This window comes from Homo sapiens, chromosome 7 (assembly GCF_000001405.40).
Source record: "Homo sapiens chromosome 7, GRCh38.p14 Primary Assembly".
NCBI classification, from domain to species: domain Eukaryota; kingdom Metazoa; phylum Chordata; class Mammalia; order Primates; family Hominidae; genus Homo; species Homo sapiens.
The window spans coordinates 142,379,425-142,401,148 of NC_000007.14; the positions used below are offsets into that span (position 1 = coordinate 142,379,425).

Here is a 21,724-nt window from a genome sequence, read left to right on the forward strand (position 1 = left end):
CAGAGACTTCATTGAAAGATGATGTTACATTGGGAGAAGCATTCTTTTTGCCTTAACCCCAAGTGTTTAACTCATAAATCCTGAGCCTTCAGCTAGAATTCATCTTCCTGTTCTGGCCCTGTCCTGGGCACTAGGATGCTGAGCTGTGTGTTCCTGTCTCTTGAACCACAGGAGTCCTGGGCACGCACATGAAACCCACTAATGGGCTTGTTGGATCCCAGCTGTGACTTTCAGCACCAGGTGGCCCTTAGCTGTGACTTTAATTTCTGTGTTCTTCACTGCTAAGTGAAGCCCCATAGACGCTGAATGACCAGACCTTGGTGATGCATTGTGCTGAAAGGAAACCAGCACAGGGGGAGGTGAGCAGAATATGAAACAAAATCATGTATTTACAACCAGCGACAGGACTTACTGGCAGATCCTTTGTTCAAACACTATTAAGAATTTAAAAATCATGACAGCAGAGTGATAAAGCAAGCGTGGGATCCTTCTGAATGCAGGGCTCTGTACACCGAAGATACAGTTTTTGAGCTCCTTTTCATTTATTACTAAATTAATGGCAGGAATCCTGAACGAAGGGATATTCCCTATGAGACATGACACCTCAAATAAAACGAGAGCATTTTTCCTTATCTTGAAGTCTGCTCCCTCTCGCCAAGTCCCTCACTCATCAGGACACCTTTGTGCTCACAAGTCTTCAGCAGCGCTGGGTGGCCACCATTGTCCACACAGAGAGGGCAGTCAGCAGCATGAGGTGGTTCTGCCTGCTGTGGTCTCACCCCAGGAACAGAAAGCAAGACTCCTGGATGGAGCTGAAGGTGCTCAGCTGGACTTGTCAGGAGTCCCATCTGTCAGTGAATTGACAAGAAACAGAGCAAAACGTCTCCTGCAATGTTGATGAGCCTGCCCCTGGGATTTGGAAACCTGATAACAGAGAAAACCAATATAGACACAGGACTTTAACAGGATTATGGTCAATTAAGCAAATTGGAAAAGGATACTTGAAGGAGTATTTGGGACACAGGAATCAAAAACACCAGGGAGACAAGAGGATTTTTCCTAAGATTCTAGACTACAGCAATACATAGATAACTAACACCAGAATATTAATGAGGAATTATATCATTGCAGGAATAAAATTTATATTGAATTACAAACTGTTTGCACAAAAGTCAAGAAAAACTTGAAAGCCTTATATCAAGAAGCATTCTTCCCATCCAAACTTCAGTGGTGCATTTATTTTGGATTTGACCCTCTGGGGAAGGGCCATGGCCTCTCTCGACAAGAAGGTTCTGGGGACCAGGCAGAGAGAATGAGGTCTCAGGATGACTTCCTTGACAGCCCTGTTCCCCTTTCATCAACACACAGACCCAGAAGACCTCTCTGTCTTGTAGCATCTGCCATGAGCATCAGGCTCCTGTGCTGTGTGGCCTTTTCTCTCCTGTGGGCAGGTAAGTCCTGGGCAGGGCCCATGTGTAGATTTCAAGACCCAGAGCCTTCCCATTGAGGCTGCAGCATTGGCTTTGTTCTCCTTCTCTGTAGGTCCAGTGACTGCTGGGATCACCCAGGCACCAACATCTCAGATCCTGGCAGCAGGACGGAGCATGACACTGAGATGTACCCAGGATATGAGACATAATGCCATGTACTGGTATAGACAAGATCTAGGACTGGGGCTAAGGCTCATCCATTATTCAAATACTGCAGGTACCACTGGCAAAGGAGAAGTCCCTGATGGTTATAGTGTCTCCAGAGCAAACACAGATGATTTCCCCCTCACGTTGGCGTCTGCTGTACCCTCTCAGACATCTGTGTACTTCTGTGCCAGCAGTGACTCCACAGTGCTGCACAGCCATCTCCTCTCTGTACATAAATGCAGGGGAGGCTCTGCCCTCCTCCCCGACCCCAGACTCAACCATGTCCTTGGCAGAGTTCTCAGCACTGGGAATCTTGGAAGCCCAATGGGTGCCGGGCAGTGTGAGCCTCAGTCTGTGCCAGGTGCCTCTGCAGGCAGTCCCAGCCAGGCCTGGACTGGTCCCAGAGCCTCAGAGGTCTCTTTTGTTTCTCTCTGGTCTTTCTTCCAAGCTATCTTTTTGGGATGGGACCAGGGCTTTCCCAGCTCTTACTTTTCTACTCATCATCCTGAGTCCGAGGTCCACAGGATGGAACAGGATTTGTATTTCAAATCTGTCTAGACTCCTGTTTCTCTCTGGGGGCCACGTTGCTTCCTCTCTCCAGGGTTTCCTCCAGTACCCACTCTCATGTGGTCTCACCTGTGGCCCGCCTTTCCCATCTGAGCAGTCACCCCCGAAGGCCTTGCTGGGCCTCTGCACACCACCTCCCCTCGCCTTTCTACTGCAGCCATGAGGCTGCCTCTTCTGTGCCTCCTTCCTTTCCAACACAGAGACCTCAAAGGCCATTTCCTCCACCCTGGGCTAGTGCCTTCCTTTCTGCAGTGGTCAGCTTCTACCTGCACTTCTGATCTCAGCATGATCAGCCTCTCCTGCTGGAAGCACTCCCTCAACTCTCAGCTGAGGTCAAATTTCAGTTTCCCTCTCATAAGCTCACAGAATCATGTGCCTCTTAGTAAAGTTCAGCACCATTGCAATTTTTCCAACACTTGTTTTATTCCTTTTGTGCTCCACTTAATTTTAAACTCATGAAGCTGAAGGCTGAGCTTGTTACATTTACCACCAGCAGTGCCTGGCAGGCAGGGAGTCCTCATTCATTTCACAGAGAATGGATGGGTGAGTGACAGGTGAGTGAGTGATGAGTGGGTGAATGAACCAGTAACAGGAACACACTAGATTCATTGTACCCTGGCAGAGGTCTAGAGTTAACTTTGCCTGAGATGCTCTGTTATGAGCTCATCAAGGAGCACTCACTTGTTGAACAAGCATAGGACCATGCATGGTGCAAGCCAGTTTGTCAGTCTGGGAATTTCCAATTTAAAATATGATGTGTTCTTCAAGCTGAATGAGGGTAAACTCTCTGTATATAATTATAATATCTAAGCTATTTCTTAAAGTTTTGGGTTAGGATCAAAAAAACCCCTGAAGAGGGCACATTTGTAGATTTAGGATTTTTAAAATATATTTATATTATTTTCCCTTGGAAGAACAGGATGGGAATGGCCTTATAGTTGCTAATTTGTGGAGAAGGCATCATATAAAAGTAAGAGAAAATCAGAATTGTGTTCTAGAGGGTAAATTGTGGCTGTCCTGAGAGCATGTTCCCCAGGAACCTAAACCATGAGCATGTTCAGGAACCCAGAGTGCAACAGACAATTCTTGGCCCCATGAATTTGGTGGTAAGACTGGAGACAGTTGGAAAAACCATGGAGTCTTGAAGTTCTTCACTCTCAATGCAGGCCTCTCTTGAACACCACAGACTAATGTCAGATAAATATGCTTCCACTATTAAGACTATTAAAACAAGAACCAATGAAGAGAAGTGAGCAGAAACAATAAGCAATTGAAGTGTTTGAAGACAAGAAATTTTTACCATTAAAAGGTATGAAAGTTTGTAGAACTATATTTAAAGGAAATTGAAATGTGAACAAGAAAAAAAGACTGACAGAAACCATCAAGATAACATTAAAAAAAAATCAAATTCAATACAGAAATGATTAAGATTATCACTGAAAACAAAATGGAAATGAAGAAAGATGAAATGCTTCTAAGAGATTATTAGTGATGTCAAGGACAGAGCTGAAGAAGTTACATAGAATGCAGCACCGAAAATTAAATATGTAACTTTAGAAAGAGCTTAAGGGTGGTTTCCAGCATAGTAGAATATATAATTTTTAATTATATATATTTATTTATATAAAGTTATTTATATTTATATATTTAATTATATATTTATTATATAAAAATATATAATATAATAATATATAATATATAATATATATTATATAATATAGAATATATATTATATAATATAGAATATATAAATATATTCTATAGAATATATTATATACAATATATAAATATATATATTTCCCATTTTTCTTATAGATAATTGAAGTTTCAGGAAAAGAAAGTAGAGGGAATAAGTGATTGTGATGAGACATTAGCTGAGAATTTTCCAGAGGTGGTTCAGGACCTAAATTCTCAATTTCAAGAATTCAAATGAATATGAAATAAGATAAATGTTTATATTATAATGAGATTGTGGAACATAAGTGACAAATAGATGATTCTAAAAGCTGTCAAAAAGAAAAGATAAATCTCTCCTAGTGGAATAGACTGAAAAAATCAATGAAAGAAAGAGGATCAGAAATAACCATTTAGTAGGAATTATAATCCCCATTCATTAAACACTGAGATGGAGGAAAATATATTTACAAGTGGAAAAATTAAAAAAAAAGACTATGAGTTTTCCAATAAGGTATCTTTTCTGAATTATAGTCAACAAAGGTGGGAAGTGGTCCCAGAAGAAAGGCATGAGGTGCAGCTTGTGAGGGAACCCATGTGTTGGGACAGCCCCGTTGGGCACGTGTGACTGGGGGATGGAGGAGGCTGGGGCATCAATGGGGATGGCATAGGGGACCCTGACTTGCAGGAAAGACAATGAGCTCATCCCTTGGTGCCTTGTGTTGGGGGCGCTGTTGGCACATCCTAGAGAACATGCCCAGCAGACAGAGGAGCGCCTGTGTGGTGAGGAGATAAACTCAGAAATGCAGCATGAGGCCTGTAGCTCCAGACAGCTCTAGAGCACAAAGTGAAGACCGATGCATTGATGTTGTTTAAAGGGAGCTAATAAATATCTAAAGCAGTCATCCAAGTGTGTTCTAATATAAATCCTGTGTTCCTGAGGTTGTGGGGATTGAGAGAGGAAGTGATGTCACTGTGGGTACTGTTCTGTGTCAGGACAAGGACGTCCCTCCTCCTCTGCTCCTGCTCACAGTGACCCTGATCTGGTAAAGCTCCCATCCTGCCCTGACTCTGTCATGGGCACCAGGCTCCTCTGCTGGGCAGCCCTGTGCCTCCTGGGGGCAGGTGAGTCCTCAGACACCAACCAGTCTCATTCTGTGTGTCTGTATGTGTGTGTGTGTGTGTGTGTGTGATGAGTACAACTGTTTTCCTCATCCTGTTCTCAACTTGTGTCTCCGCAGATCACACAGGTGCTGGAGTCTCCCAGACCCCCAGTAACAAGGTCACAGAGAAGGGAAAAGATGTAGAGCTCAGGTGTGATCCAATTTCAGGTCATACTGCCCTTTACTGGTACCGACAAAGCCTGGGGCAGGGCCCAGAGTTTCTAATTTACTTCCAAGGCACGGGTGCGGCAGATGACTCAGGGCTGCCCAAAGATCGGTTCTTTGCAGTCAGGCCTGAGGGATCCGTCTCTACTCTGAAGATCCAGCGCACAGAGCAGGGGGACTCAGCCGCGTATCTCCGTGCCAGCAGCTTAACCACAGCATGACACAATCGCCTCCTTCCTGCTCATAAACCTCCTCCTCTCTCTCCTTGCTTCCTTATGATACTATTTTGCACCAGGGGATCCTCATCTCACACCACTCCACTGCCTCTTCCAGAATCATTGCTTGCATGTCCGCTGCTCAGATCAGCAGATGTGCGTTGTATATGTTAATCATTTTCTGTGGAAGGCTCGTTGCTGGTCTTCATTATCCATCCTTATTTTCCACATTGGATACTGCTCCCTTCAAGATTACTTGTTGCCTACAAAAGATCCTACTTTTTACATTCAAATTTTACTTTTTATTAATACGTATTTGATGCCATCTTGAAGGCAATCTCATTATCATCCTAATCTTTTGCTAATCTTTATGTTTATGGTAACATTGATTGTTATTTTGGGGGACATGTATTTCATCTTTGGTAATGAAATGAAATAACTATGCACTTCAATTCCTGTATGTTCTGCCTACTTAAGAGTAAATCCAATTTTCTTCCATTCCTCCCATTCTATCCCACTCCCTTTATATGATAGTTTTAAGGGAGAAAATATTAATTAGACTCTAACTGCAGCTATGTGATAAGAGTTATTTAGAATGAGGGTGGGATATTAAGCTTTGAGTAAAGCAATAGTCAGGGTTAGAACTAGTGTTGGAATCAGGGTTTAGGGAAGTTGCTCATAAAACCTGCAGGATGACACTTCTAGAATAGTCTCTCACTCACTCTGCAGACACTTCCCAGCATCCCTTGGGCCATTGCAAAAGCAATGATGAAACTTCACGTATTGGCCACAAGATGGCACTGTGGTCCACTGGGATCTAAGGGACTCTGGGGAGAGCCTGGGAGAGCAGCCTAGGAAGGGAAGGGTTAAGAAAAATTAGGGCTGGAATCCAATATTATGCAGATGTTGCAGCAGTTTTCAGTCATTGCTAGGCTACCTACAGCTATGCAAGATGCAGGAAATACCTCTAATCTTTAATGAGATCCACAGTTGAAGAATTTTGGCCTGGCAGCCTTGGTGTCAAGCGCAGGTGCAAGCAGAGGAGCAACTGCCTCAAAGGAACGTGGGAAAGCTAGGGGCGGGCTGTGCCCTAAGCTCAGTATGTCTCTGCTGCACCCCATCTTCCCTGCAGACCTCGCCGGGCAACAGCCTTCATGAGAGGAGGTGGATCCTGCCTGAGACCAGTCAGAAGGCCCTGGACCAGCTGGACTCCGTAGGCATGGGGGGTGACACCACAGGCCCACCAGACTATTCCCTAGGGAGCAGCCTCCGAGCCCCAGCTCACAGTCCTGAGGATCACTGCACTTAGTTGGGCCAGCCCCTCCTCACTCTGACCCTACCATGAACCCCAAACTCTTCTGTGTGACCCTTTGTCTCCTGGGAGCAGATAAGTTCTGGAAACAGCTGCAAAACCCTGTCATGGGTTTGCAATGTCTGGGCTACAAGCCTTTTTTGTCCTTTCTTCTGCAGAGTCCCCCTATTTCTTAAGTCTTGTCTTCACTTTCTGTCTGCCTCTCCAGCAGGCTCTATTGATGCTGGGATCACCCAGATGCCAAGATATCACATTGTACAGAAGAAAGAGATGATCCTGGAATGTGCTCAGGTTAGGAACAGTGTTCTGATATCGACAAGACCCAAGACGGGGGCTGAAGCTTATCCACTATTCAGGCAGTGGTCACAGCAGGACCAAAGTTGATGTCACAGAGGGGTACTGTGTCTCTTGAAACAAGCTTGAGCATTTCCCCAATCCTGGCATCCACCAGCACCAGCCAGACCTATCTGTACCACTGTGGCAGCACATCCGCAGCCCTGCACAGCCAGCTGCCCTCTGCACAAAAAGGGCAGTCACAGGCTGGAGGTGGGCACTCCTTATGGAAGCCCGTGTCTCAACCAGAAGAAAAAGCTGCCCTTTCTGAAGCTCTTCCCAGACTTCCCAGCAATGGGATCTCATTCTATGTGTGCTCCTGCAGCATAAAACTTAGAGTGAGCTGGGTCTGTCACTGTAGTGCGGATGTGTAAATGCAAACAACGTAATGTTATTTTGCTCAATTTGGAATATTCTGGTAATTGTGCAAAGGAATGGTAGCTTCTAACAAGAAATTCATATTTCACTTTCTTTTCAGGAGAGAAGAAAAAAGCAGAAAGCAGCTGGGAAGCTTTAGCCTGCTTGAGTGATCTGGGATTCTCAGGTAGCATACATAACATCACCTTGGCTTTGGTTCCTTTAGATACCAAGCATGTGTTCTGTGGAGGACAAGAAAATCCATTTTTTTTGTTATAAAGTTATAAACACACAAGAGAACAATCCAGTTAGGGAGAATGTTAATAAATACAACAAACTCTGCCATTAGACCTGAAGATAATCAGCTAGTAGAATTATCAAAGAGATTGTAAGACTCTTACTGAGTACCTGTTTGAGGTCCTCTGAGGATAGATGAAGGAAGGAACTTAATTCTTACCATCACTGTGGCTTGGATTAGAATCCATGAGTTCCTTAACTTGTTTTTCTTGTAAAATATTATAAAATAATATAGAACACACATTTTATTTTCCTGTAGCCTGTAGTCCTCTTTAGCACCTAAAGGGAGAAGCGCATATCCCGGTGCAAAAGGGAGCTGGTTGCTTGCTTGGCAAAAAAATGAATTCACCAATTGGCCAATCTGCTGAAAGTCAAAATGAAAGGCTAATATATGAGACTGATGACAGTTCATGGTTCTTGGTATAACTTCAACAGCGAGTGAGCATTTTTTTCTTTGTCTATAGCTTTCTTTCAGCCATCGATCCTCAGTTGTGTCTTAGCCTCTTATCAGTCCAGCTCACTTTGATACTAAATTTGATTGTTGTGTATCTCAGCAAGAAGCACGTCTCACATTCTCTGTATTTTTTGTGGTCATGAGTGTGTTCCTGTCTTATTCTTATTTTATGTGGTGCATTTCTAAATAGGACTGTACAGAATACAAGCATCTATTTGTATATGACTCTCATCTTTTATGGGGAGAGGTCAGAGTAGGTGAGCGTGCACTTTGATTCTCTGCTGGAATCTCTTTGGATTCTATGTCCCCTGTCACATGGTTTATTTTCATATGCATATTTCTCATGGTTCTCCTGACTCTTTTAGCAATGCTCATTGCAGGATATTAGAAATTGTATTACTTCTAATGGCAGAATGTTAGAAATTGTGTTGACTCTTAAGGCAAAATAAAATACCTGGACTCACCTTTCCATTGCTGTGTCTATTAGTCGTGGTCCTGGAGATATCAAGGAGGGACAAAAGGAGTATTTGCAAAGGTGTGGCAGGGTTAAGGGAACCCAGTAAGAGAAGTAGAAGTAGCCTAAGAACAGCAGAATCTGTGGCTCTTATTCACATTGGCCTGAAATAAGTAGGAGAGGATGTGGATCCCAAAGCATCAGGTACTGTAGCTCTAAGGCAAGGCTGCCTATAAGGTGCTGTGGACTTTGGTAGGGAAAAGTAACCTATATAAAATAATGAAGCAAGAGGATAGCCAGGGCATAGATGAATCAGAACAAGTGGTGCCCCTACCTCCCTCTACTCTCCTGCCATTGTCTCCCATTAGCCAAACTCACTCTGGAGTTAGAGAAGAAGAGAGCCAGTTAACATAATACACTGAGGTCAGCCTCTGAAGGCAGGGTGGATCTGGAGAAATTAACGTAAATTATCCAGATCACTACGCATAAGATGGCCTTGAGGGTGCTGAATCCCAAACTGTCTGGCTAGGTCTGTGCTGTGAGCTGATAAAGCCCTAGTATTATTTCTGGGGAATCTGTACTCTTAATAATTTACAGACAACCAAGGTCTGCTTTGGATCTGATCAGATAGACTAAATCTTGGGGACTTTGCACCACTGGCCACTCAAGGGAGGGGCTGGAAATATTTTCTGAGGACAAAAAAATAGAATTAGAAAATTTGGTTGAATCTAGCGTCAGAGAGATGACATTAGGACAGCCAGGGAGAGCTGGAACAAGAAGGTTTAATCACAGGCTCCTCACCCTCTGCTGATGGGCAGGTGTGTGAGCTCCAGCATGGAGCACGACAGCACTAGGTGGGAGGAGGGTGAGAGGGTGATGGGGCAGCCTGGGAGCTGGAGCAGTGTAGGCAGAGGAGCAACTGTCTCATCACAGAAGCTTCTGCCCTCACCCAACCCTTCTGCTGGACAGGGAGGGAGTTCAGGTTGTGGGGAGTACTGGACCTCAGGAAGCATTTATAGGGAGGACACAGGACAGTGACATCACAGGATACCCCACCCATCAGGAAAATCAAGGCCCAGAACTCACTTGGCCCTTCCCCAGGAGGACCAAGCCCTGAATCAGATGCAGTGCTGCCTGCCCCACTGTGCCATGGGCCCTGGGCTCCTCTGCTGGGAACTGCTTTATCTCCTGGGAGCAGATGAGTCCTGTGCACAGAACAGCAGCCCCATTCTCAGATTTCCCACCCCTGTGTCCTCCACTTTACACTGGGGAGGACCTCCAGGCTGTCTGCTGTGCTCATCCTCCATCTGCTTTTCCCACAGGCCCAGTGGAGGCTGGAGTCACCCAAAGTCCCACACACCTGATCAAAACGAGAGGACAGCAAGTGACTCTGAGATGCTCTCCTATCTCTGGGCACAGCAGTGTGTCCTGGTACCAACAGGCCCCGGGTCAGGGGCCCCAGTTTATCTTTGAATATGCTAATGAGTTAAGGAGATCAGAAGGAAACTTCCCTAATCGATTCTCAGGGCGCCAGTTCCATGACTATTGCTCTGAGATGAATGTGAGTGCCTTGGAGCTGGGGGACTCGGCCCTGTATCTCTGTGCCAGAAGCTTGGCACAGCCCTGCAGAGTCACTGGAACTCTGTGCACTAATCTCTCTGCTTCCGTGTACAGCAGTCTCAGACCAGACAGCTGTGAGTACCTGGGGCCTTCAGGGGGAAAGATAAACAATTTCAGGACTCTGAACAAGGCTGGCGGAAACAAGGCCAGGAGGATATGCTCAGAGGATGGTGCTGCTTCAGGAGGTTCACGGCAAAATTACTTTCTTTGTCGGATGCTGTACACTATAGTGATAGAGTAGCTGGCACTCTCCTTTTTAGAAAAAGAAATTCATTTTGGTGTCAGGATTGTTCGACAGATGTGTAGTATAGAAGGTAAAATCTCAAGGGTTTGCTTTATATAATTAAGGGAGAAGAAATTGAGATTTGGTTTGGAGAAACTTGAGGAGAGAGAACATGATTAAAGATTATTAAATAAATAGAAGTAGAGCTACCAGATGATAAAAAATTGTGTTCTCTGCAACATAACCTGTCAAAGTTTTCAATTGCTAGAAAATACGCAGCAAGGCCTTGTAGCAACTGGCATCACCCCGAGGCCACTCTATGATGGTCATCACCACGTAGCCAGTTGCCCTGTGGGAGGGCCCTGGAGCTGGTTCCAATGTCTTCCTTCTGGACTTATATCTCAATTCTCAAAACAGAGGAATTCATTTCACTGCTGATGGTAAACAGATAAAGGCTCTCCCATTTCCCCAAAGATACATTCTGCTTCCCTTGTATCTCTTTCTGACACTTACCGCCCAGATCCATTACCTTCTGTGATCAAACACCTCTTTGAATATTTCCTAAAACTCTGCAGCCTTTACATTCTCTGCATTTGTGCTCAGTATTTCCATGGCCTGGAAGGACCTTCTGTCTCCCAAGAAACAGCCAGACCCTGCTTATCGGTCAAGGATGGGCTCACACCTGCTTCCTCTTTGCTTCTTACCATGACATTCCCCAGCATTGTACTATACCACCATCTTTATTATTTTCATAGGAAAAGCCAAGTATTAATTAAATATATAATGAATATTATTTGATGTTGTGAAATCTATGTTAATTCCTGCTTATATAGAGTTCTGGAATATTATTACTTTTATTCATGTGAGGGATATTATTAACCACTAACTATTTCCTGGTTAGAGATCAAAGTCACTTCTGTGTAATGATAGCAAATGTGAGAACCAGCTGAATCTGTTTGAATTACAGCTGGCAGTATTATTCATTTCAAAATTTTTATAATTTAGAAGTAAATTTTTAAAATCTAGAAATCCTTTTGTGAAATGCACTGTCTAAAATTTAGTAATAATGAACCTAAATACAAAATATGAAAACATATGGGTGTAATTAACTGGGATTAGCTGTGGAATATAGGGTTTCCAGGCTGGGTTTCCTTGATAGCATCACACTGTTTAATTGTATGGCCTTTATAATTCTGGCTGGTCTCTACCATCTTAACATATTATTTGCAATTATGTAACAATTGTTTATTTTGTAATCAAAATGTTGGTTCATGTGTCCTTTGACTCCATTGGCTAAGGGTAGATTTGAAAATCAACCCTAAATTGACTCTTCTGGGAAAGCATGGACGGGGTGTGTAAGAGGGTGGGGGTGGCAGGAGTGGGGGCATCTCTCTTTCTGATTTGGACAATTTGAGCATATCACGTCAGAGGGTATGAATCCATGAGACTGTAGACTGTTGGCCACTTGGAGGCGCTGTGGCTCCACAGTGCTGCAGAGAACTCAGCGGAGGGGTGGGAGAGTGGCCAAGAGAGGAGGACTGAAGGGGATGCCCTGGCTGCCTGCTGGCATCAGTAGGGTGGATGGAATTCCCTGAGTGGGGCCTGGCCATGTAGAGTTAAGCACAGACTATCATTGCCTTGAAAGAGTTGGGGTGCCAGAGGCCTCAGTTTGCATCAAGGAGGGAGTGTCTCTGCTGCTGCACGGGCAGTGGAGGGTGAAGGGGCTGGGGTGGCAAGGGCTGGGGAATCAGTGTCAGGGCAGGGACAGGGCGGGCAGAGGAAAGTAAGGTGTGATGTGGGTATGTTGGTACTGTGTTCAGTCCTCCTCACCTTTAGCTTCTGGCCTGTGCAAGACAGGAATAGTACATGGAGTAGCAGAACCTGAGGCCTGCCAAAGAGTACAGTGGGCTGGAGTGGCCTGCAGGGGAAAGTATGTCAGTGTGGTGACATCACAGGTCAATGCTCCTATCAGGAAGAAGGGAGCTTAGGAACTTCAGAATGCTTACTACAGAGACACCAGCCCCAAGCTAGGAGATCCTGCCATGGGCTTCAGGCTCCTCTGCTGTGTGGCCTTTTGTCTCCTGGGAGCAGGTGAGTCCTGGGCACAGCTTGAAAGTCTCCGATCTTCATTTCTTGTCCCTGAAATGCATGTGGGCCAACGATGGCTTCAGCAGGAGGCTTTCTTCTGTGCCTTATGGTTAACTTTTGTCTTCTGACACACAGGCCCAGTGGATTCTGGAGTCACACAAACCCCAAAGCACCTGATCACAGCAACTGGACAGCGAGTGACGCTGAGATGCTCCCCTAGGTCTGGAGACCTCTCTGTGTACTGGTACCAACAGAGCCTGGACCAGGGCCTCCAGTTCCTCATTCACTATTATAATGGAGAAGAGAGAGCAAAAGGAAACATTCTTGAACGATTCTCCGCACAACAGTTCCCTGACTTGCACTCTGAACTAAACCTGAGCTCTCTGGAGCTGGGGGACTCAGCTTTGTATTTCTGTGCCAGCAGCGTAGCACAGCCCTGCATGAGCATCAGCCTTCTGTGCAATAACATTCCTGCCCCACTCAGGAAGTGACGGTGAGGGGAGGGCTGCCAGCCAGAGGGGCTCAGGCCCTGGAGAGTGGACAGGCCTTTCCCAGGCACTCTCTGGTGCTTCTGTATGTGATCTGGTTTACTGCTCACTGAAGCTGTGTAAGCGAAATATTATTTTACCTGTTTATATATCTGAGGGACAGCAGATGTCCTGGGGCTCATATTTAGTAGCTAGCTGAAGTCTATTGTTTCAACACCTCTGCACTGTCCCTCCTCACTCCGGAGATCTGTCCTTTTACCTGGTGTCCCCTTTTTGTGTCCCCAAGAGCAGGATGCTAAGGTCATATATGAAACTGTGATCATGATAACTTGTTCCCTGACAAGTCCAATGGACACATGATTTCCAGGCAAAACATATCCATCTATTCTTTATTGTGATTTAAAAAAAAAAGAAAGAAAAGAAAGGTGCAGTTTTCTGCTCTGTAGCCCTCCTATGGGCAAGGCCAGGTCATCTCTTTTATGGAGACTGTATGAGGAGGGAGCTTTCCTAGGTTCACAGCAAATAGCAGGAAACGTTTTTTATGGGGCGTGTAGTCTTCCTGTGGCGGATGCAATCTGCCATCAGTGAAAGGACATGAAAAATTGTTATTCATTAGTTAATATTTTTTATTCTTTTTTTTTTTTGAGATAGAGTTTCACTCTTGTTGCCCAGGCTGGAGTGCAGTGGTGCTATCTTGGCTCACTGCAACCTCCACCTCTTGGGTTCAAGCAATTCTCCTGCCTTAGCCTCCCGGGTGGCCTCCACCACACCTGGCCAGTTTTGTGTTTTTAGTAGAGGTGGGGTTTCTCTTTGGTGGCCAGGCTGGTCTCAAACTCCCAATCTCAGGTGATCACCTGCCTTGGCTTCCCAACGTGCTGGGATTATAGAGCCATTGCACTAGGCCAATTTTTTATTCTTTATCAATAAATCTTTTGGGGCATCCTACTTTGTACAAGGGATTATATCACATGAAATATACAATGAAAAAAGATAATTGGAAAAAAGGGAAATTTTTTAAAAATGAAGAAAAGGGTGTTTCTTGCATTTGAGGGTATCAAAGTCTGTAATTTTTGGTATATTCTAATTAGTTTACTCAGTTTCTGATTTATACGAATTTCCTCTTTCTTCTCTTTCTCTCTTTGGCTACCTACACACTTTTGCCAGATTTTTTAAAGTTTTTAGTAACAATATTTAACATGAGATCTACCCTTTTTATAGACTTATAAGCACACAATACAGTTTTATACTCTGTAGTCATAACGTTGTACAGCAGATCTCTAGATCTTATTCATCTTGCATGATTGAAATTTTATACCCATTGGCAGCAACTCCCCATTTACCCCATTCCCCAGACCCTGACCGCTACCATTCTAGTCTTTGCTTCCATGAGTTGGACTATTTTAGATAACTCATGTAAATGACATTATGCAGATTTTTGTCTTTTTGTGATTGGCTTATCTCATTTAGCCTAATGTCCTACCAAGTATAGTGGTGACAGTTTTACTTCTATCTTCCACAGTTCACTCGAATAGCTCCTTGACCAACTGTAACCCAGAATCATAAAGATAAAGGCATTCTTAGAAATATAACTTCTTGTCCTGGCTAAGTTAACTTAACACAACCCGGTACGGGATGGATTCTCCCAGGTTGAGGCATCTGGTCACATACGAGTTTCAACCTATCATGGTCCCCAGGATCCATTTTTGGCGGCACCACTGCTGCCCAGGTGACTGTGGACACAACTTAGATGTCTCTGTCCTAGATTTTCCAGGCCCCAGCTACTGGCTTTTCTTTTAACCTGTGCCGGCAGTCTCCCTCCACTCAGACGCAGGGATCTGCCTCCTGCTCCCATCTCCGTCCTGAACTTCCGCCCTGCTGGAGTTGCATGGATATCAGGGCCCCTGGTCAATGTGCGGCAGCCCACGGAGGCACTGGGAGGGAAGCTCACCTCTAGCTGCCTTCTGGGGCCCAGTTCTGTTATACCCCAAGCAAGTGCTCTGGTCTCCCTTTGGGCTCCACAGTATGAGAAATGCACTTCATGGATTCATAGCTGACCCCTAGCTCAGTAATCTGATGACAAACTTTGAGTTTCACTCAAAGTGAAACTCTCAGAGCTGAGGGACTAGCTCTGCATTTCTCTGATGAGGGTAAGAATACAGTGCTGTAGAGATGCCTTCTTCCCTGTGTAGACCTGGCACTAAACAGGAAAAACCAGACAGGGTAAAAGTGCCCAAATATGTCTGAGAAGACTGAAAGAAAATTTCCTAAGAAAATCCTTCTCCTGACTTCATTCAGTTCCTAGTAAGACACACCTCACCCTCTGACCCCCATATCATCTGGTCCCCCCAGGATATCACACGTCCTAGTATCTAACCCCACAGCAACTAATTCAGATACTGGCCTCTTTCCAACCTCCAGAAACGGTCTTGCCAATAGAGTTTTGTTGGCCGGGCGTGGTGGCTCACGCCTGTAATCCCAGCACTTTGGGAGCCCGAGGTCTGGTCTGGTCACCTGAGGTCAGGAGTTCCAGACCAGCCTGGCCAACATATTGTGAAACTCCGTTCCTTCCAAAAAAAAAAAAATTACAAAAATTAGCTGGTCATGGTGGCACATACCTGTGGGAAGCTGAGGCAGGAGAATTGCTTAAACCCAGGAGGCAGAGGTTGCTGTGAGCTGAGATCTCATCACTGCACACTCCAGCCTGGGCAACAGAGCAAGACTCCATCTCTTAAAAAAAAAAAAAAAAAAGAGTTTTGTCCTCTGACCACCAGGTCTATCTAGATATCTAGGCAGATTTAATTTACGATTAATTTGACCTCTTAATCCCATTAAAGGGAGAATGAAGAGCGTATGGTTTCAATGTAAAGTATATTCATTTTATTTTGAATGAGTTGGAACTAAGTAGTAAACTGAGGATATCACTCCATTATAGTCTTAAAACAACCCATGGTAAAACAAATCTCTTTACTAGGACTTTCTTTTTCACATTTTAGTTCCTAGTTACCCAGAGTCCAGAATAGTTAAGAGTTGAAGAGTCATGACTGAGATGGTCTGTGGGGGTTTATAAATGAGCATTCACTTGTTGAACAAGCCTAGGGCCACTCTCTATGGAAGCAGTTTGTCAGCTGGTTTGGGAATTTTTAATTTAAAATATGGTACGTTCTTTATCTTGTATAAGTATAAAGTCTACAAATATAATTTGCATATATAGGCTAGTGCCTGAAGATTTGGGTAGGACAAAAAGGAAAGAAGAGATAATATTTGCAGATTTAGGAAGTTTCATTATATAAAACTTCAAGGGCTCAGGGGCTCTAATTTGTGAAGATAGTATAATGAAGAAGAATTAGAAAATCAGAACTCTCTTCTGGAGCCTACACTGGGGTTGTCCTGAGAAAAGATTATGATATGAGGAACATAATCCATGGTGTGCTTAGCAGCCCAGAGTGTAGCAGACAGTTCTTGACTCATGCAGTTGGGGGGGTGAGACTGGAGACACTTGTGGAAGGTACTGGCTGTTGAGGCTGTGCTATAGCCTCTCCAAAACCCCATAGATGAATGTCAGACAAATATACTGCCACTATGAAGAATATTAAAAGTTAGCAGAATTCATAAACACTCGCAATAGGCAGCCTGAAGGTTTAAATTTTAGCATCATGACATATGACAGTTTGAAGAGCTGTAGTTAAATGCACACAAAAGAGAATTGAAACCTGAACAAGAAAAAAGAGACTCTCAGAAATCATTAGATAACTTTTTTAAAAGCATTGAATGGGATGTCTAGAAATGATCCCTAAAATGACTAAAAGAAAGCAGATAAATTGAAGAGCAGATTAGATGCTCATTGAAGAGATTATTATTGACTTCAAAGACAAATCTTAAGAAGTTACCCAAAACAACACAAAAAATTAAATGTATAATATGAAACAGAGAGGAAGCAACAGAGAAGAAACAATGGAGGTTTCAGTTATATTCGAATATATGTAACATTTCATAAGAATTTTCCATTTATTCTTATGTCATTGAAGTGTCAGAGAAAGAAAATAAGGAGAATGATATGAGGTGATATTGTGTGTGATGCTAGCTGAGAAATTTCCAGAGACATCTAAAGACCTAAAACGTGAGTTTCAAGAATTCAAATAAATCCCAGGTTAAATAGTTACCTCAGTGTTAAAATAGAAGAATATGAATGATGAAGACACAATTTTTCAAGCAGTCCAAGAAAGACAAATATCTCGCAAAGGAATAGACTGAGACCGACAGGAACGGTGAAGAAAGGGAGTTAAAAATATCTATAAATGCAGATTATAGTCCTCATTCATCAAAGAGACAAGGAGACCTCGGCAGTTCATATTCTGACCCCTTGGGCTGGTGACCTGAAATATATTTGGCTGAGTGTTCTCATTTGTAAACCGAATTCAATTTGCAGAGATTTTTTTTTTTTTTTTTGGAAATAGAGTCTCGCTCTGTTGCCAGGCTGGAATTCAGTGGCGCGATCTCAGCTCACTGCAACCTCCGCCTCCTGGGTTCAAGCAATTCTCCTGCCTTAGCCTCCCGAGTAGCTGGGACTAAAGGCACACACAACCAAGCCCAGCTAATGTTTGTATTTTTAGTAGAGATGGGGTTTCACCATGTTGGCCAGTCTGGCAGAGATTTGAGAGAGGTAACTTTAAAAATTAGAGTCATATAAAGTGTAGGTTCAAGAAATCTTAGGTCCCTATAAATTCTCTGACAAATCTCCAATCTAGCACAGTTATTTACTCTCTGAAATTCTGGTAACAAAGACAAGCACAGATTACTTTTGCCTGATTAAATCATGTTTCAGACACAAAGTCATCTAAAATGCAAATATAGTAGTCTGATAGTTCATTATGTAAAATTAACATAAAGAGTTGCCGTTTAAGGAAATATGAAAATGTTACCTCTTATGAACTTCCTGCTTGATAACTGAGTCTGATGTGCATGAAGGTGTGGTGCTCCTAGAAAGATATGGCTTCAGTGCAATTGTACATCACACAAGAGAGCTGATAGAAGAAGGCACAGCTTTATTGGAAAGAAGACCACAGAGGAGCCTCTAGTGGCTTCCATGACATCCTCTCCGCCCACCTCTGATTTCAGCCTTGCTGCTGTGGACGGTGCCAGTTCCCATTCACCTCTTGCTGACAGTGCCCTTCTGCAGTGCCTGCTTGGAATGTTGCTGCTTCCTGCTCTGGGGTCTTCTCTGGTATCTGAATCCACTTGGGCTGTATTCAAAGACAGCCAGAGGTCCTGATGCTCCTGGTGGAACAGGACGGGGACAAAAGCTCCAACCTGCCCATTCATGCAGATACTCCAGAGAGCACCCTATGCTCTTGGAGGTCCTGATGGATTCCGTCTCCTGTTGCCCCGCCACAAATACAATATTGCACCTTTATCCTGGTTTCTCCCTTCCCTATTTTGTTTTCCTTGCTCTCTTACTTCTTCCTGGAATCATTTCCCAAATAAGCTACATGCACCCAAGTCTCCCCATCACAGACTTTGTCTTCAGAGACAGACTAAACTGTGGCAGTGATGGAATGAAGCGACCATCAAAAGACCCTACCTTTTGAAGGAGACAACTGTTTATCTTTTATTCATATGGCTACCCATTCATTTAAAAAGTCTTATGATGATGTATATAAACTAATCTTTTCCAAATCCATTTGGATTCATCTGGAATTCCCAGCGTTCTCAGGATGGCTCTCTGCTCCCTTAAAACTTCAAACCTATTTTGAACTGAATAAACTTGGATTCTGTTTACAGAAGTAGAATCTGCCTGGACTCAGATAATCATTCATTCCTTTCTTCATTCAATAAATATTTAATGAATTATAGGTGAAGATTAGATTCAAGTTTTGTGGCGCACAAAGCTGATACATTTTAGGTAGCTCTTTGCAAAAGAGAGTGCAAAATAGCAAAGAGTTGAAAAGACCCTGTGCAAGTGAGAAGGCCTGAGGTTATTCTTCATCGGCTTCATGGCAAATACACAGGTACTGTCCAGGTACTTGGGAAACACCAGTGCAAAAAACAGACAAAGCTTCAAGTTGAGGTAGACGATTTTAACACATAATTGTTATAATTTATTATACTTAATAATAAATTAATTTAAAAGTAGAAGGATATATTCCTGGTAGATGCTTATCTTCCCGGAGAAGTTAGAGTGTCATTGAGAATATCAACATTCTTGGTAAATCATACCTGATTTAGGGAATGATCCTTGGAGCTCTGGAATTCTACGTGCCTTACCTTGCAAAATGAAGGTCCTGATCTGAAAAGTTTTTTTTTTTTTTTTTTTTTTTTATGCCCTGGCCCAACCATGAGGATTGGCTTCTTTGCTGTGTGGCTCTTGGTCTCCCAGGATCAGGTGAGTTCTGGGCATAGATGAGAAAGTCCTTCCTGGGCTTGTCGGGCCCCAACCACGGCCTCCTATGGGGGTGCTCATGGGCCTCCTCCCTGTCTCCACTTCTGATTCTGTGTCCTCTCTCACTGGAGCATGATTGTGGGAATTACCCATCCAGGTTGCATCAAGATGTGCAATAGATAGCCTATTGTATCTGAAATAACTATTGCAGTGCTATGGACTACATGTGAGTTTTGCACCATAGCACGTTTACAAATCCATCAACCTTCTCCCATTTGGTGAATATAAGATCTGCTGGATGGGAATAGAGGATTTTCCTGTGACCCTAGAGACTCCAGGTAGGTGTAGTTCTTGGTGAACATTTCATCCATATTCCTAATGAGCCTCCTCTTTTCTTCACAGGAAGTACAGTCACTCAGGGGACTTAGATGGGGCAGTGTTTGTGGCTTCACCTGAAGCAAAGGGAGAAAACACCCCCATGAGAATACACAGCAGCCTGAGCTTGGATGGTGACATTCCCATCAGGTGTAATGAGGTGCTACAGCATGTAACAAGTCTTCAAGCGGTCATGACCTTGAACCTGGAACTTGGAACTTGGAGACATTTCTGGATGTCATTTAACCGAGGGTATCCCTGTATGCTGGCATACAAGTGTCCAGAGGTTAAACGAAGAGGAAAATAATTCAACTTGGAGTTGAATTTTGTGCAGGAAGTCATAAAAGTCACCAGGACTGCTATGACAATGTTCTTTAGCCTACAGAAATATTCATAAAAGTGAAAATAGTATTCAAATAAAGAATTTCTCATGATGGAAATAAAATATACATAGAAGAACAAATTCCCCTATTAAAATCAGGGAAAGAGCTTAGGAGTTTATTAGATTTCTTTCAAAACAGACCTAAAAATTATTCAACTCTGTTATAAATAATTTGTTCCTGCGGGGAAGAGAAGGGGCATGGCAGGTTAGCTCCGCAGTTCAAGCATTCAGCAGGAACAGTGACATCATCAAGTCACTGAGAGCCCAACTTCAGTCTGCCCACAGCAGGGCTGGGAGACACAAGATCCTGCCCTGGAGCTGAAATGGGCACGAGGCTCTTCTTCTATGTGGCCCTTTGTCTGCTGTGGGCAGGTGAGGGCTGGTCACAGGAGGGCCTCCTTCCCTGGAATTCCCAAGGCCTCAGTGCAGGCTTTTCTGTTGGGATGACAGCATCAGCATCTGTTGTTCTCTATTACAGGACACAGGGATGCTGAAATCACCCAGAGCCCAAGACACAAGATCACAGAGACAGGAAGGCAGGTGACCTTGGCGTGTCACCAGACTTGGAACCACAACAATATGTTCTGGTATCGACAAGACCTGGGACATGGGCTGAGGCTGATCCATTACTCATATGGTGTTCACGACACTAACAAAGGAGAAGTCTCAGATGGCTACAGTGTCTCTAGATCAAACACAGAGGACCTCCCCCTCACTCTGGAGTCTGCTGCCTCCTCCCAGACATCTGTATATTTCTGCGCCAGCAGTGAGTCCACAGTGCTGCACAGCTGCCTCCTCTCTGCACATAAAGGGCAGTTAGAATGACTGAGGTTGCCTGTGCTCCCAAGTCCCAGCCTTCACAGGAGTCGGAGAGCCCTGGCTAGCCTGGGGGCCATAGAGCAGGGGCCATATAAACCTTGATGTTGAGGTCCATTCCTACCCCAGTCTCAGACCAACTGGAGGTCACCCCAACACCCTTAGCTTCTGCAGTTCCCTCTTTCCTTTTGTAAAATGGAAAAGGCATCTTTAGTCGAGATTCCTAATTTCGTTGAAAATTTGAAACCCACCATATTCTTCTCTACCCTAAGGGCTGGGTGACTTTTCCACATACCCTTTCCCCTACCCTCTACTGCCTTTCAACTCCCAATCATAAATCTTTGCCCATGTGGTCTCTGCTCCTGGGGGCCCTTTATTCTAAGGGCAATAGACCCACGAGGTCCTATATCATTAGCCATTTACGTACCTCTTCATCATCATTTTGCACCATGTTTTCCCTGGCTCTCTGCTCCAGCCACACTCCCTTACATGCAGTTATTTCTTCATATGTGTCTGTTGTTTTCCACCCTGGGGATTGTTTATATAAATTCTTTCTTCTGCACTGAGCATACATACCACCCACTTAGTCCTACATCTCTACTTCATTTCTTAAATTAAAGTGTATTTCAGGCACACTTGCTCTTAATTGTAAAAAGCAAAAAAGAAAGTTTACTAGAAAAATTTAAGAAAAGCATTTTATGCATTCAGTTGAGGGATGACATTTTTAG

At 43.9% G+C, this 21,724-nt stretch overlaps 2 pseudogenes, 4 gene segments (V, D, J or C) and 1 further gene, besides 18 other annotated features; all 7 read left to right on the forward strand.

The window, feature by feature from the left end:
- The window catches only part of TRB (T cell receptor beta locus), a 514,277-nt gene that overhangs the window by 80,414 nt on the left and 412,139 nt on the right, over positions 1-21,724 (forward strand).
- On the forward strand, positions 1,403-1,837 carry TRBV6-4 (T cell receptor beta variable 6-4). The segment is given in 2 exon segments: positions 1,403-1,451; positions 1,543-1,837. Coding segments are annotated over 2 exon segments (344 nt in total), but the record flags the coding sequence as incomplete, so codon positions are not given.
- Positions 1,838-1,844: a recombination feature (RSS_heptamer).
- Positions 1,845-1,867: a recombination feature (RSS_spacer).
- Positions 1,868-1,876: a recombination feature (RSS_nonamer).
- TRBV7-3 (T cell receptor beta variable 7-3) lies at positions 4,955-5,417 on the forward strand. The segment is given in 2 exon segments: positions 4,955-5,003; positions 5,120-5,417. Coding segments are annotated over 2 exon segments (347 nt in total), but the record flags the coding sequence as incomplete, so codon positions are not given.
- Positions 5,418-5,424: a recombination feature (RSS_heptamer).
- Positions 5,425-5,447: a recombination feature (RSS_spacer).
- Positions 5,448-5,456: a recombination feature (RSS_nonamer).
- TRBV8-2 (T cell receptor beta variable 8-2 (pseudogene)) lies at positions 6,763-7,223 on the forward strand (annotated as a pseudogene). Its single transcript is given in 2 exon segments — positions 6,763-6,808; positions 6,945-7,223. Coding segments are annotated over 2 exon segments (325 nt in total), but the record flags the coding sequence as incomplete, so codon positions are not given.
- Positions 7,224-7,230: a recombination feature (RSS_heptamer).
- Positions 7,231-7,253: a recombination feature (RSS_spacer).
- Positions 7,254-7,262: a recombination feature (RSS_nonamer).
- TRBV5-3 (T cell receptor beta variable 5-3 (non-functional)) lies at positions 9,778-10,244 on the forward strand (annotated as a pseudogene). Its single transcript is given in 2 exon segments — positions 9,778-9,826; positions 9,951-10,244. Coding segments are annotated over 2 exon segments (343 nt in total), but the record flags the coding sequence as incomplete, so codon positions are not given.
- Positions 10,245-10,251: a recombination feature (RSS_heptamer).
- Positions 10,252-10,274: a recombination feature (RSS_spacer).
- Positions 10,275-10,283: a recombination feature (RSS_nonamer).
- On the forward strand, positions 12,514-12,988 carry TRBV9 (T cell receptor beta variable 9). The segment is given in 2 exon segments: positions 12,514-12,562; positions 12,695-12,988. Coding segments are annotated over 2 exon segments (343 nt in total), but the record flags the coding sequence as incomplete, so codon positions are not given.
- Positions 12,989-12,995: a recombination feature (RSS_heptamer).
- Positions 12,996-13,018: a recombination feature (RSS_spacer).
- Positions 13,019-13,027: a recombination feature (RSS_nonamer).
- On the forward strand, positions 20,504-20,953 carry TRBV10-1 (T cell receptor beta variable 10-1). The segment is given in 2 exon segments: positions 20,504-20,552; positions 20,659-20,953. Coding segments are annotated over 2 exon segments (344 nt in total), but the record flags the coding sequence as incomplete, so codon positions are not given.
- Positions 20,954-20,960: a recombination feature (RSS_heptamer).
- Positions 20,961-20,983: a recombination feature (RSS_spacer).
- Positions 20,984-20,992: a recombination feature (RSS_nonamer).